At 45.5% G+C, this 16,335-nt stretch overlaps 1 protein-coding gene across 1 annotated transcript in view, besides 1 other annotated feature; it reads left to right on the forward strand.

The window, feature by feature from the left end:
- EPHB1 (EPH receptor B1) overlaps nt 1-16,335 on the forward strand; it is a 465,208-nt gene that overhangs the window by 438,801 nt on the left and 10,072 nt on the right. Inside the window, exons 13-15 of the mRNA NM_004441.5 lie at nt 7,088-7,237; nt 14,256-14,449; nt 15,276-15,431. Of these exons, the coding sequence (NP_004432.1) occupies nt 7,088-7,237; nt 14,256-14,449; nt 15,276-15,431 (500 nt within the window). The remainder of the gene's footprint in view (nt 1-7,087; nt 7,238-14,255; nt 14,450-15,275; nt 15,432-16,335) is intronic.
- Nucleotides 15,280-15,483: a silencer, noted in NCBI's record as "fragment chr3:134968182-134968385 (GRCh37/hg19 assembly coordinates)". NCBI's record gives its function as "represses an EF-1alpha promoter that drives an FKBP-Casp9 reporter gene in an ReSE screen in phorbol 12-myristate 13-acetate-treated (for megakaryocytic differentiation) K562 erythroleukemia cells {active_cell/tissue: K562(+PMA)}" and the evidence as "EXISTENCE:reporter gene assay evidence [ECO:0000049][PMID:32094911]".

Here is a 16,335-nt window from a genome sequence, read left to right on the forward strand (position 1 = left end):
GTTATGAAAATTTCTACAGCCGCTTAAATTTCTCCCCAGAAGATGGGTTTTTCTTTCCTATCTCATTGTCAGGCTGCAAATTTTCCAAACTTTTATGTTCTCTTCCTCTTGAATACTTTGCCGCTTAGAAATTTCTTCTGCCAGATTCCCCAAATAATCTCTCTCAAGTTCAAATTTCCACAGACCTCTAGGGCAGGGGCAAAAAGCTGCCAGTCTCCTTGCTAAAGCACAGCAAAAGTCACCTTTGCTCTAGTTCCCAACAAGTTCTTCTTCTCCATCTGAGACCACCTTAGCCTGGACTTCGCTGTCCATATTCCTATCAGCATTTTGGTCAAAGCCATTCAACAAGTCTCTAGGAAGTTCCAAACTTGCCCACATTTTTGTATCTTCTCCTGAGTCCTCTAAACTGTTCCAACCTCTGCCTGTTACTCAGTTCCAAAGTCACTACCACATTTTCAGGTATCCTTATAGCAGCACCTCATTCTACTGGTACCAATTTACTGTATTAGTCTGTTCTCACACTGCTAATAAAGACATACCCAAGACAGGGTAATTTATAAAGGAAAGAGGTTTAATTGACTCACAGTTCAGCATGGCTGAGGAGACCTCAGGAAACTTACAATCATGGTGGAAGGGGAAGCAAACTTGTCCTTCTTCACGTGGTGGCAGGAAGGAGAAGTGCTGAGCAAAAGGGGAAAAAGCCCCTTATAGAACCATCAGATCTTGTGAGAACTCACTCACTATCATGAGAACAGCATGAGAGTAATCACCCTCATGATTAAATTACCTCCCACTGGGTCCTTCATACAATAAGTGGGGATTAGGGGAACTACAATTCAAGATGAGATTTGGGTAGTAACACAGCCAAACCATATCACTTGCCATGCAAACAGCTGCCTACTTCCTCACCCAAGGAAGACATTGCTCATCAACACAAATACCCCTCTTCTCTCCATACCTGGAAGGTCTAGCCCAGTGGTTCTCAGGCTTGGTTGCTCATTGGAGTCACCTGGGGAAAGTTTTATTTTTTGTTAGTGCCTTGAGTATTCTAATTTAGAATCTCTGGGAGTGGTGCCCGAGCATTGATGATTTGAATGTGCTTCAGGTGATTCTTACATGTAGTCATTAGTCAAAACCTCTTGTTGAGCCCAGTCATGAAGCCTCAGAATCCTTCTTAAACCAGGCACTAACAATTATCAGAGTTTGTATTTAAGACAATTCCTAAAGCAATCCATGACTTATGTCGGATTGATCTATGCCAGCAGTTCTCAAAGTGGGAGAACCACACTGGGAATTTGTTAGGAATGCAAATTCTCAGGCCCTACCCCAGAACTAGTAAATTTTAAAGTCTGGGTTAGAACCAGTTTTATGAGCCCTCCAGTAGGTTCTGATACACATTCAAATTTGAGAACCACTTCTCCAGCCAGTAGCTGTGACTAATGGCCTGACATTCAAATCACCTGAAGCATCACCAAAAACCTACCAATGCTTGGGCACCACTCCGAGAAATTCGAATAAATTAAAATATTCATGGCTTTAAAAACAAGCAAACAAATAAACTTTCCCCAGGTGATTCCAGTAGGTAACCAAGCTTGGGAACCACTGGGCTAGGCCTTCTGAGTAATCAAAGAAAATGTGTATTGGCCTAGCTTTCAGCCGGTGTTGTTGTGCATTTACCTAGGCCTGGAGTGGCCATCTGAGTCTGGGGACACTGATGGTAGAGTGAGGATAGAATTCTCCCTCAGGCAGGATGACAAAGGGCAGTGCTTCAAGGTATGAACTGTGGCCGAGGTCTGATCAACAGCAGTGATGAAATGTTAGAGGGGCCCTGTGGTTAATCGAGGGGCTTTGATATAAAGTGTTGGAGCTATCCCTCACTCCCAAGTCCTCTTGCCCCCTAATAGTAGCCCGTGATGGTTCTGCCACCTAGGAACTTAACAGTGGTATTGTTAAACTAGTATCTGATAAAATTGTATATACTCAATGTATTAGTTTCTCATGGCTTCTATAACAAAGTATCACAAACTAAACAGCTTTAAACAGAAATTTATTCTATCACAGTTCTGGAGGCTGAAAGTCTGAGATCAAGGTGTTGGCAGGGTCGTTCTCCCTTTGAAGGCTCTAGGGAGGATCTATCCTATGCCTCTCTCCTAGTTGCCATCAATTCTTGATATAACTTGGTTTGTAGATGCATCACCCCAATCTCTGCCTCCATCTTCACATGGTATTCTCCCTGGTGTGTTGCTGTATTTTCATTCGGCCTTCTTATAAGGATGCCAGCATGAAATGTAGGGCTCATCCTAATCCAGTATGATGTCATTTTAACTTGATTATATTTGCAAAGGCCCTGTTTCCAAAGAAGATCACATTCACAGGTCTCACAGTTAGGACTTCAACATGTCTTTTGTGGGGATATAACTCAATACACAACATTCAATAATTTATTGTTTAATGATAATAAGAATATATTGTGTGGTTTAAATTTCTATCGTGTTGGACTTTCACAACAACCTCAATATACTTTATGTATTATAAACCTTTTGGAATAGCAGGCATTACGAAATTCAGAGCCATTTCATGATACACTCGGCCATGAACCTATCACTTCCAAACTTCAAGGGGATCCTCTCATGCTGCACAACAGAAATATTTGGTGAACAAGTCCATGAACACAATACTCAGTATTCATGAGTGGCTGGATTTCTGCCATAATCCCATTGAGATTTTGTCTCACACAAGATGGTGGAGAAAAGTGCTGTAGCAATGCCCAGACACATAGAAGTGCTACCCTCTGGGCTTCTCAACAATAAGCAATTAGCAAAAGGAATCAGTCATATGCCTGGACTTTGGCCTGGAAAACTTCATACTTGGGTGGGCTCTAGAACCAAAGCTATGTGTTGTACTTCTGTAACCTCACCGTGGCAAGACAGTGTGCTGGCTGGATGGTGTTAGGGACATCCATTGCCCATTGAGAGTAGGGCTGAGGCTCATCATTACCATGTCCCCAGCAGGGTACTGAGGACAGAATGGGTGCTGCATAGATGCTTGCTGCAGACTGTCTGAAGCTGAGGGACTAAAGTGCCTCTACACCAAGAGCTTCTACCTGTTGGCATCACACCTGCTGGCAGGTGTGGATGTGGGTCAGCAGATGACCTTGAGGATGACAGGGTTAGGATTAATTCGCTGCCAGATATCTTCTCGTAGTTCACCAAATTCTACACACACACACACACACACACACACACACACACAGACAGACACAAAATCTTAAATTTATCGTATATCTGAGTTAAGACATAATTTTTCTGAAGCAGTGGTTTTCAAACATTTGAAGAATTCTTGGCAACACAACTATTCAATGCAAAGCTCTGTGTGGAAGGTGTGTATGAAGTCTTGAAGGGAACTCAGACCCCTAATGACAGTGAGCTGCCTCTTCCTCTTCTTCTCTTCTCCCTCCCCCATGCTCCAACAGTGACCCCTGCGGCAGCTCTAGGGAAACCCAGTCCCTGCAGAAAGCAGACCCATACCCTTAGCATCCCCCAGGGAAGCAAGTCATCTGGTACCTTGTAGAAACCCCTGCCAGGGACAGTGCTCTCCCCAAGCCCAGTGTCAGCACTTCTGTGTCCGTATGAATGCAGATTCCTTTCCAGTGAGCCCCATGCATTCTTCACTGCCCTGAGAATTTTTCCCTGATATTCCTCACCACCCAATGGAGCAAGCACTCCTCTATGCCCCTTCCTCATACCTGCACTGGGGAGCTGGGGGCTCTTAGGGCACTTTAAAGTCACATGGCTGTGTTGGCCCTGGTGTCTGGTCCAAGCTCCTCATGCAGCAGCAGCAGGACCGCCTGGCTGGCAGAACCCTGCCTGCTGCAGCAGGGTTCCACTTCCTTTTCTTCTGCTTCCCTCCACAGGGCTGGTCACCATCCTCTAAATTAATAGATTTCCTTTCACATAATTGAAGACAAGTTATAATCATCACTTGATGATATTAATTATGTCAATAATTGATATTGATATTGATTATATCAATAATCATCACCATGATTACCTCTGAGCACCAGAAGGCAACATTGACAATGATGTTTGAAAAGATGGAAGGAAGGTTTAAAATTCCTAGGAAACAAAGTGCCCACTCTTGTGCTCCCCTGACTTTGCATTTCCTTTTGTTCTGCCTCCCAAGTCAGTGTCCCCCTTCTCTTCAGCTGAGCAGGAGAGCCTGCCATGACAAGCTGTCACCTGCCTGTCCAGGGGCTCTTCTCAAAGGCTCAGCCACCTGCTGGGATGGAGGGGGGCGGCGGTGACAGCCCAAGCTCAGTGTTCAGTGAGGCCCAACAGTGCAAGGTGGCAGGAGGGCTGTAGGCTCCTTGCCGTGGGCCAGGCACTGCCACTTTCCAGGCAGGAGGGAGCGGCTCCACAGCTGTCACTGACAGCCCCTGGGGTTTGCTCCAGACTTGGCAGAGGAGGACACTCTCAGACTCCCAAATCACCTCTTTGAAATTCAGAAGAGCCACACTGTCATCTCCCCTCCTCTCTCTGACACAAACACACACAAAAGATAAGCAAGCCCTAACTCTCTTTTACTCAGAGACCTACACTGCCAAGTTTTCTCTGTCTCCCACTCTCACACACAGATTGATACATTCTCACACACAATCTGGTTCTCTGTCTCTGTCTCTCTCTCTCTCTCACACACACACACAGTATACTAATTAAACTCCAATTCTCTCCTACCTCACTTAACCCAGGTATTTTGAGAAAACCAAAGCCCCTCTTTTCTGGGGGAGCCCAGGCCATCTCGAGGTGTGACAACAGCACCTTCCCTAATGGCAACACACAACTTGGGGTCTCTGCACTATCAGACATTGACCTCCAGGTGTTTGGTAGCTGCTGCTTCACTGGATGAATTCTTCACCTCTCTTCCCAGCCGTGGGGAACATGTTGATAAAACCAGTAAATTCATTCATGTTCTGGGGGATGATGAGAACAGAGAGTCTGGCTGCAGCCACAGCCTAAGCATGCCCTCCAGGCATTTGTCGTGTAGCTGGCATTTGAGCTGAGGACATCTCCCCCACCACAAAAGCCTGCCACCATCCTCAGGGGAAATTAGGACTGTCTTCTTTGCAGAAAGTGGGATGTGTGCCTGGGGAGGTCCAGCCTGGTTGCCTTTATTCCTCCCAGGCTCCAGATAGGAAACCAGATAAAAATACACTTTGCTGTTTGCTCCTTTTTTTTTTCTGCCTAGCTCGGGTTAACCATTTTTACATTTTTACAGTATTTTTGCTAACGTCAACCATGTATCTTTGGTGACTTGAGCAGATTGTAAGAATGGGCAGTATAAAAATATCCTCTTTCAGTGGAGGCATGAAGTAAATGAGGAGGGGAGTGAGGGAGCTGCCGTCCCTGCTCTGTGCTGTTACTGCTGCAGCCAGTGGCTTCATGTTCCACGTAGTATGGAGAGAGACAGAGCCTAAGCATGGAAAAAAGCATGAAAGGGTGAAATCCTGGCATTTGGCATGAAAAACTGAAAAGGGGGGTCATATTTGCTATAGGGAGTGATGAGCTTTTGAGGACAGCCTTGGCAAGAACCCTGTTTAACAGCTGTAATTGGCACTGATGCTGGACAGCACAGGCCATGCCAGCTGTCTGCTCTATGCTCACCTCCCATTACTTCTCCTTCAGGAACTCCCTGCTTCAGCCATTGTGGATTGCTTGTATGTCCCAGCCTCTCTCTTATCCCTGGCCGTTGAGAAAGCTGCTCTCTGCCTGGACTTCCCTCCTCCAGTCACTTTGCCTGGTTAACTTCTACTTGTTCTCTAGGGCTGAGCATAGTGAAAATAATAGTTAACACTGGGCTGTGTAGGTGCTGATGAGAAACTGAGGCACAGAGAGGTAGGTTACTTGCCCCCGCCGCACAGGTAGAAAGAGGCAGTACTGGTATCCAAACCCAGACAAAGGCTCCAGGAGTTCTTAACCACCACCAGAAACTGCTTCTCTAACAGCTCCTGCCTGCCTTCCCTGACCCTTCCCTGTGTTGGGGAGTCTCCTCTGGTTTTCAGAACACCTTGTACCCACTCTCATCTTCACCTTCCCTCACTTTTCAATGTTTTTAACAATATATTTTAAGTTTTTGTTTTCTTGTCTGTCTCCCCACTGTCCTGTTCAGCTTGAGGGCAGGGACACTGGCTTATTTCTGGGACATCAGCTTCTCAGCAGGACCTGGCACAAAGTGGTGCTTATTGCCTATTTGTTGATGGGATGGATGAATGAGTGGATAGATGTGAATCCCTTAGGTAAACAAAACTGGCTAAGGTCTGGCAGACAAGCTGAGGGCCAAGCAGAGAGCCAATTTAGAAACTTCCAGTGTGGGATTGGAGGCAAGAAGGAGAAACAAGCCTAAGAGTGGCCCTGTAGAAAAGAGCATCTCTAGACTCTGGAATCTTGACCTCCACTGAAGGGCTGGCAGGACAGCCAGCATGTAGAAAGACCACAGCACTGGGACCATTCAACCCTCATGAAGCTCAGGGCTATCTGCATGCTACAGAGTTAGGGAAACCTGCCCCCCAGAGGTGGAATGCAACAAAAATGGGGCAGAGGGCAGCATAGCATGACCTTGTAGTGGCAGGGCTCTCCAGGAGGCATGCTTCATCACTCTTCTTTCCTTTTGTACCATTGCAATTCCTTCTGACCCAAATGTGTTAGCTTTTACATTGCCAGGGAGCAAAGAAAACCATAACTTGTTTCTCATGTAGCCAATCTCAGGTAGTTCCAGTGAGTTTTATGACAGTTACACTCTCTCCTCCCACCCACCTCCCCTGCAGCAACATTGGAACCCACATAGAGGGAACCAGGGCACATGTGGCATATCCACATGAGGCTAGAAGCCAGCACAGGCATGCTGGTCACCTTGAGCTTCTCTAACTAGGCACAGCAACATAGCTTGTGCACGAAGCAAGAATAGCCTGTCTGTCATAATTCACAAGATATGGGAGTGAGAGTTTGGAAGAATGTGCATGCCAAGTTTTTTATTGCCTGCCTTCAATCAGAAACCTGATTGTTGGGCTGACCACGGTTTCTCCTTCTTTCAGGGAGGGAAGATCCCTGTGAGATGGACAGCTCCAGAGGCCATCGCCTACCGCAAGTTCACTTCAGCCAGCGACGTTTGGAGCTATGGGATCGTCATGTGGGAAGTCATGTCATTTGGAGAGAGACCCTATTGGGATATGTCCAACCAAGATGTGAGTGTCAGCAGCACTTGGTCACCACAAACCCCCATTGAAGGGATCCCAAAGGCAGTAGCATACCAATTCCTCCTGTTTTCAGCTCACGGCCTCATAATCTGAACCTGCAGTGTTCAGGGTAGGGGATACAGGGACACCCTTAGCATGGATGTTGGAACTAATCAAAGAGCCCAGCATGGAGGTGTGAAAGGCCCTATAACCACAAAGCCTGTAGAGGTGCCAAGGCCACAGTCTCCAACCCAAGAGACAATGGGCTGTTTCCAAATGGCTGAGGACCATGAATAGATCAGCCCCAAATTAAGCAGTAAAGTCTACCCTGCTTCTAAGTGTTCAGGTTCTGTGTTTTCCTTCCCTGTGAACGACAGAGGGGAAGGAGGCACTGGACTGGGGGCCAGGGCCTGGGTTCCCATCCTGCTCTGCCTCTGACGGCTATGCTCCATTGAGCCAGTCGCAGTTTCTGTGTGGGACTTGTACCTCTTAGCTTTAAAGAGAGTAATTGGAAAGGGCCCTTCTTCCTTGAGAATTCACTCTTCTATGATCCCATATCACCTATCAGTGAAGGAAGAGGTGGAAAGCTTTCCAAAGCTGGGCAGCTTCAGATGGGCCACAGGAGAGGGTCCCTGTCTGTGGGGAGGTCAACACTCCCCCAGGATGCCCTCAAGGGAAAAGGGTGAGAAAGGAAGAGATGGGTCATCTAACATGCTTTAAATAGAGGCTTTTTGGAATGTTCCACATGAGAACCTTTGCTCCATACTTACTAAAAGGTGAGGAAGCCTTTTTCGGATGATTTGCTTTGATAAGTCTCCAATGAAAAGTCCTGCCTGAATTTCAACACTGCCTCTCACCCTCTCCAGGGACCAGGCCTCTTTTGTGTTTTGCATACATACCCTCCCGTTGGAGCTGAGAGGATTACAATTTGCAAAGCTGCATACCTATGTTCTCTGCTTGCCCTTCCCATCACTTTGGGAGGGGGCAGTTTTTATCCTTCCCAACTGACAGCTAAAAGAGAAAGAATGGTCCCCAGTTCAGATCTGAGTCCACTGGCAGCCAGCCACACTGTAACCCCCTCTGTGCTAGGGTGGACACTGAGGAACTTGTCAGCTATGGAGTCAGCAAGCCTTCTATCCTGTGAAAGGTTTAGTGCCATGGCAGCTGCTCGGAAGATTGAGAAAGGTGGCAACTTCCCAGAGAGACTGTGGAAAGAGGAGCTGGGGTACTTCTATGACAGTACTCCCTGTTGCTATGGGCAGAGTGGCTCCAGCCTGGAGTGGGTGAAATGGCTGCACCATTAACCGGGTCCTGAAGTCAACTATGGCTGGTGTCTAGGTCCTCTATTATCTGGGATTAGCAACACCTTGCCTCTGCTCCTGAAGCACATCAAATCAGTAAGCGGTGGAGTTAGTGCAAAGCCTGCTTTTATGAAATCAGCTGCACCCTGGTTCTGTCTATACCAGCTGCTAAATAAGTATAACATGTTAGTAGAAAAAGCAGACCCAGCAGGGCGCAGTGGCTCATGCTTGTAGTCCCAGCACCTTGGAAGGTGGAGGCAGGTGGATTGCTTGAGACCAGGACTTTGAGACCAGCATGGTCAATGTGGTACAACTTTGTCTCTGCTAAAAATACAAATTAGCCAGGTATGGTGGCACATGCCTGTAATCTCAGCTACTCGGGAGACTGAGGCACGAAAATTGCTTGAGCTTGGAGGCAGAGGTTGCAGTGAGCCAAGATCGCGCCACTGCATTCCAGCCTGGGTGACAGAGCGGGACCCTGTCTCAAAAAAAAAAAAAAAAAAAAGAAAAGAAAAGAAAAGAAAAATCAGACCCATCTTATCCTGCCCAAGACCTTAATCTGACTAAGAACAATTCAGCACTTACAGAATGAATTACAAAACTGTCTGACAAGCAAGATTTCACATTCAAGATATTTTCTGTCAATGCTGAAAACAAAATTTCTGATATTAGACTTCCAGAATTCCCAAGTTATTCATTTAACACACAATCAGTGTATGCTAGTTGTGACTAAACACTGTGCTTGCTGATTCTAGAAGGTTTTACAGTCCGGTGGCATAAACATGGGGCTTTGAGAACATTTGAGTGGAGGAGGTAAGGGAAGACTTCCTGGATATTTGACGTTTGAGATGGGTCTCAGAGGGAATAAGAACATCTGTAGAGTAGCAGTTTATTCTAATTTTGCGTGCTCCTTCAAAATAAAGCCCCTAAGCATTGTCTCAAGTGCAGTTTTGCTCCTCGTGGGAGGCAAGAGGTGACTTCATGCCCATTCAGAAAGCTTCTTACAACCTGGCCTGGGAGAGAGCCAGGAGGGGCTCCCAGCTGCCGGGCTGAAGCCTCACTCATCAGAAACCACCAAGTTGGTGGTGGTAAAGGATTTTACAGATGACAATTGAAAGGTTTTAAGGAAGAGAATTGCAGAGGCAAGTTGGAGTGCCGGTAATTAGGCTTCCAGAGCACAGGAAGGTCTTTGAACATGTACAGAGAGTTTGTCAGCCAGAGAGAGCAACTTGGAAGTTCTGCTGCTTGGATCTGATTGACAGAGATAATGAGAGTGGCAGTGTCTGTGGAGAGGAGCTGCAGTCTTATTGAAACATCAGAGCTTGACTTAACCCACTCTGCCCTGGTTTCTCCACTGCTCTGAGTTCCTCCACTTCCCTCTCCCCAGTGCAAGGTCGACTAGGCACTACCCACAGCCTGACTCACTAATGGGAAATACATGTCTGGGGGCAGCCGGGAGCAGGCCCTGAAAATACAAGGGCAACAGGAGGGGCTCTGCCCACTTCCCAGAGGCGTTCTAGTCACTCCACCCAGTCCCAGAGAGCACCTGGGGTCAGACTACCTGCACCTGATCCCTACAGAACCTGTGTACCTACCATTTCTCAGTACAGGTGAATAAAGGCAACCCCTCACCACACCTCCTCCCTGCCTCTTTAATTAGATCCCAGGACGTTTGCTTACACTGGCCTTTGCAATGGCCAAAAGAGTTGTTGCTGAACTTTCAAAATGAGACAGCAGAGAGCTCTGGGTAACAGTTGCCTAGACTGGTCTCCTTGCCCCCAGAGCTTTACTTTTACTTCTCTCTGGAAATGCCATCTGATTTCATTCTAATCTTCAATCTTCTCAATAGCCACTTATCTCATCCTCTTGTGGACCAATGAAAGGAGCCCAGAATTCACTTCTGTTTTCAACTCTGCTCAGTAGGACACCCTATGCCTCCAACCTTAGGCCATATCTTTCCATACAATTCAAACCTGGTCATTGTCATTTACAGCCATCATCACATGGCCAGAATGAAGGTGCTTTTCCACTCCTCCTTCCTGTTCCCCATACCTGCTAGTGAGGCAAGTGTGACAGAGAATGATTTCAAAGTCCCATTAGAAGACCAAAGCTATTTTTTGATATAATGATATTGTAATTTGACTAAATTTTATTGCTCAGAAATTTAGAAAACACGCATATCCTAAAGAAGAGAATAAAAATCTCCAAAGGCATTGTACTTCAAAGACTTGAGTGGATAAATGCTACTCATATACCAATGATTGATCTCAGTATTTTTTTCTTTGGGCTGAAGGGTAAAGGACACTTTTTTCCCTATGTGCAAGAAGCATTAATGCTCCCAGATTATCAGCTCAAGTAATAACAACAAAATTATTTACAAGAAGTAACAAATGGAGTAAAGTCCCATTTTCTAAACACAAACATGGTAGTGGGTTCCCATGGCTATGCTCTACCCTGAAAAGTGAGAAAAGTCCTTGGTGCTTTTCAAATACTATCTTCCTGGACCTCCAAAATGAGCAGTAGTAACTCCCTTCTTTGCTGGGAAGACATCTACTAAAATAGACACAGCCGTAATGACACCTTCTGTGTGATGAGGATTCATCCTACTACTCATCTGCGCTGTGCTCAACACGCATCACTTCGGTGTCATTTAATCTTTGTAACAATCTCATCTGTGAAGTTTCAGGAAGTCAGGTGACTCTCCCAAGGTTCTATAGGTAATAAGAAATGGAACTTGGATTTGAAACCAGCCTTCCAAGGTCTATGCACTATGTAGTACTATCACCAACACAGCCAAATGGACCTGTGTTCCTAGCTGACCTGCCCAGAAAGGAGGAATCAGTGGCTGTTTGATGTCCTCTTAAAAAGAAAGTAAACACACCAAACAAAGAGCAAATACAAAAACAAATACCAGAACAGTCTTCAAAAAAAAAAAAAAAAAAAAAAATCGGCCCGTGCCTGTAATCCCAGCACTTTGGGAGGCCGAGGCGGGAGGATCACGGGGTCAAGAGATTGAGACCATCCTGGCCAACGTGCTGAAACCCTGTCTCTACTAAAAATACAAAAGTTTGCAGGGCATAATGGTGCATGCCTGTAGTCCCAGCTACTCGGGAGGCTGAGGCAGGAGAATTGCTTGAACCCAGGAGGTGGAGGTTGCAGTGATCTGAGATTGTGCCACTGCACTCCAGCATGAGCAAGAGAGCGAGACACCATCTCAAAAAAAAAAAAAAAAAAAAAAAAGCCAATGAGATGCCATGATGCCATGCAGTGGAGACAATAAGGGAAACAGAATTGAGTTACATTCGGTCTAGAGCTCACAGGCAGAAGACTCAGCATGTGCATGGGTCCCCATTCTCTTGATCCCTTGCCAAAAGAGGTTGGGTCAGCTGGTCACATCATGGAGCTGCGCTCTCTCAGAAAGGCCCTGACTCCAGTGCTCCTTCTTGTTCCAGGACAGGTGGTAAAGCTGTCTTGTCAGTGAGGAAAATTAGTATCTGGGGCTCTAGCATCTAATGATCTGAGCAGAGATGCCATTAGTTTAGGGGACCACCAGGAACATTAACTGCCCTGCACTGGAAGACTTTGGGGACCCCTGGCATCATGAGAGGTTGAGTTTGGACTCTAGCTCCTCCTGCTGGCCCTACCTAACCTGCCCTTATGCAACCCAGAAGGAGCTCTAGGGGCCATTCAATGGGTAATCCCACTTGGAGATTCTGTGACTGGGACCCTCAATCTAGTTACTTGGAAGGAACTGGAAAAGGGTGCGGGGTTTGTGAGCCAGGCTGATGGGAATGATGCACAGCTGCTCATTCTCATAGATTACTTAGTTTAGCCCCATGCCCTTGTTGCATGCCAAGAAGACAGCCGACACCTCCAGGGGCTGTTCTCCAGGCTGAGATTACTATGGCAGCTCAACAGAGGCCTAGGAAATACGGCTTTTGAAGTATTCAAAACTTAAAATCAAGCACCGCTGTGATTTATTCCCAGCCCTATCTTTTGCTAGATGTGTGCCCCTGGGCAAATTATTTCACTGCTCATGCCTCCATTTTCTCATGGGGAAATGGGGTTAAAATGGTTGTCCTCAGAGGATAGCAGGGGAATTTGATTGACAACAGTTTAGAGGAGGAGGAGAAAAAAGATTGTCAGTGCAACACAGTGTTCAAAAGTGAGTACTCCCAGTCACTGGATTTTTAAATATAGCGATAAAATTGATGTGGTTTGTATGCTTGATTTTCACCCTATTGAATGAAAGAACTAATACACTTTGATTATCTCCAATGACTTGGTTATCATTTTATCTCATGTCCTATCTCATGTCCTACATACTATGCATAGAAACTGTAAAAACTAAACTAACTGAAAATACTCACTTTTTGACCAATTTATAAAGTATATAAAAAAGAAAGAATAATCAGTTGAAATGAATCTCATTATTTTTTAAGTAGAGGCAAAAACACCAAAAACACCCTGAACTCCAAATTATTTCCTTTGTTGTTTAAAATGCTTTAACTGTTTATTTTAATATAAAATTAATGCAGGATTATTATAGAAAATAAAAAATTCAAACAAGCAAAGAGAAACACATGAAAAATATTCAGGTTTCTGCCTATCCAGAGGCAACTGCTATTAACACCATGCTGTATATCCTTCCAAGGTCTTTTCTATGCATGTCTATAATAGTTGGTTTTTGTTTTTTACAAAGCAAGATTATACTATTTCTGAAGTTATGCAGCCAGCTCTTTTACCTGTTACAGTATGAGCATATTTCCATCTCAATAGATGGATTTTTGTAGTATTACTTTAAGGCCTACATTGTATTTTAGGCCTTCTGTTGCATTATGGGTGTACCATAATAAATTCATATGTTTAGCACTTGCGTCACTTACAATTATTTTTTTAATGTAAAAAGCACAGTGTAGGCATAATTGATTTAAATGCATTTGAAGTTAGTTAAGATGTACTGGATGAAAAAACACAAAGATCTGAAAAACAGACAATGTACTTAACGTTCCTAAAATCTTTACAAAATTACTCTCTGGCGTTTGTGAAAATTACCAAAATCTGATTGACGGTATTCATTTTGGACCACCTTGTTATTTTGACTGTTGTCATTGATTTGAACCAATTATTTGTTTAACCAAGCCCATTCATGTTGCTGCCTCATGAGGAATATGGCAAATAATGCAGAGGAGGCATCTAGAGGGTCTCTAGCATGGAGTAAGTGCTCCATCAATGCTAATCCCTTTCCTCCCTTTCTCTTCTCTTCCAAATGAAAGAATGAGTCCACCACAAGTTTTGAGGACATCCTTTATAAATAGTGGGTTCACTGGGTTTCCCATGTGTCATTGTTTCATCACTCCTAGTGCCACCAGCTTCCAGTAAGGCAGAATTGGGCCCTATGTCTTCTTAAAGAGCGGAGATGCTCAAGCTGTTCACTGGCTCATTCTTCAACAAACATTTACAGAGGTCCATGTGTGTCAGGCCCTGCACCAGGAGCTGGGGACATAAAGAAGTACTACAATGTGGCCCCTGCTTTCTAGGAGCCCAATGTCTAGGGGGATAAACCAAGTGCACAGAAAATCCATTACAGCGGAAGGTGTGCAAGCACAGAGCAAGGGCATCTGAGACAGCCTGGATCAGGGAGGCTCCATATAAAGGGGATAATTTGTGAGTGACTGGCTGGTGGCAGTCACTCAATCACACCTGTTCCCTGTATGTCACTGCAGGTCATCAATGCCATCGAGCAGGACTACCGGCTGCCCCCACCCATGGACTGTCCAGCTGCTCTACACCAGCTCATGCTGGACTGTTGGCAGAAGGACCGGAACAGCCGGCCCCGGTTTGCGGAGATTGTCAACACCCTAGATAAGATGATCCGGAACCCGGCAAGTCTCAAGACTGTGGCAACCATCACCGCCGTGTGAGTCTAGTGAAACGGTGATCCCTAAATATGGCTGGTTTCATGGTCAGGGGCATAGCCAGCAGCCTCTGACCATGATCATGTTCGAATTTTTTAAAGAGTATCTAGTTGCAGTGTGGGCCTTATGTTGAGGAGAGCAACATGCATGAAGAAAGACAGGAGAACATTGCAATGATCATGATAGAGAAAATAGTGTCTTAAATCAGGATAATGGTTGTGGAAAAAAGTAAACGAGTTTTGGGGATTTGAGAGACAAAATCTTTATGACTTGGTGAAGGATTGGACATGGATATTGAGGGTGAGGGAGATGTCAAGATAGCACCCGGATTTCTGGTTTGGATACCTGGGTGTCTGCTTTGAAAATGTGCCAGAGAAGGTCGGCAATGGGTCTCACTGCTCCATTTTTTTTTTCAAATAGCTAAGGATGAAACTAGGAAAAACAATGTTACCAATATATCTGGGGAGGTTGTGATAAAATATGCATATTTTTAAAAGGACTACGTCTTTGAATGGTGAGGCTCCTAAATTTTGGTTTACAAAGGAGTTGGGAGCCTTCCGTTCCCTTCAGACTGAACGCTATGTCAACCTGTCTGTCTGGGTTAACTGAACTGTGACAGTGCCCAGAGGCAGAGACACTGGCCACCTGGATGTAGAAGTCATGCTGATTTAGGATTCCATGAAGAAGAAAGGTTCAGCCCAGGGCTCCACTATAATCCTCATTCCATCAGGGATGCTGCCTTCCATGAAGTCAGCTGTCAGGCCAGACTGGGGCACTGTCCATGCATCTCTGCAATGTGTGGTCACCTGCCCATCTCTGTCTCACCAGGCCTTCCCAGCCCCTGCTCGACCGCTCCATCCCAGACTTCACGGCCTTTACCACCGTGGATGACTGGCTCAGCGCCATCAAAATGGTCCAGTACAGGGACAGCTTCCTCACTGCTGGCTTCACCTCCCTCCAGCTGGTCACCCAGATGACATCAGAGTAAGTGATGAGAATCTCTCTGTCCAGACCACACCTAGGGGTCAGTGCTCCTTCCCTGCTATTGCAGATGGTGTGAGTCCTATTTCTGGCCTCATCCCTGGAGCTCCGTCTCTGTATAGACCAGGCCTGGATGGGGAGCACCTTGGAAAGATGAAGGGGGATGTGAGGGTGGGATGGGGAGGTGGAGATCCACTCTGGGACCCAAATGAGAGTTCTTCAAAGTTATAGCCATATGTCATTTGCCTAATCACCCAGAGTCTCTTCCCCATTTAAGTTTTTAAACTCAACTCATCAAAGAGAGCATCCAGATGGAAAGAACACAGCCATCTAGTACTTTAAATAACAGCAGGAAAAGCATTGCACTGATTCAGCAACAGTCTGAGATATGTGGGGAGCTTGTCCTTATACTTAGATAGCAGTTGTCAACAAGCATGCATTTCCATCCCCCACAATTATTTACCAGTCTGTGGCTCCCTCAGGAGTTTGGAGGAATACACAAAATAAAATTATTCAAATAAGACGAGAGCCAGAAAGAGTTTTAAAGATCCATGTGGTCCAGCATTTCCCCCAAGAATGTTCTGAGAAGCACCAGTTGTGGGAAATGTTAATAGGTTCTCCTTGGAAAAAAGGTCCCACTGTCAAATAAATTTGGGAAATATTGTGTACTTTATCACCCTCTTGGAGATTCACTGCTCATATTAGCATTATAAAGGCCATGAGAAATCCTGAAATAAAGGAACCCATTTAAAATTATTAAATACCATAGAACCATATTTTTGAGGGGCAGGGTTTTATAGAACTGTAGTCTGGGAAATATTTATCTGGTTCCACCCCTTCCATTCAGCAGATTCTGAAATTACATGACATTGGTCCTCACAGGTGGCAAAGCTGGGACACAAGCCTG

This window comes from Homo sapiens, chromosome 3 (genome assembly GCF_000001405.40).
Source record: "Homo sapiens chromosome 3, GRCh38.p14 Primary Assembly".
Taxonomy (NCBI): Eukaryota; Metazoa; Chordata; class Mammalia; order Primates; family Hominidae; genus Homo; species Homo sapiens.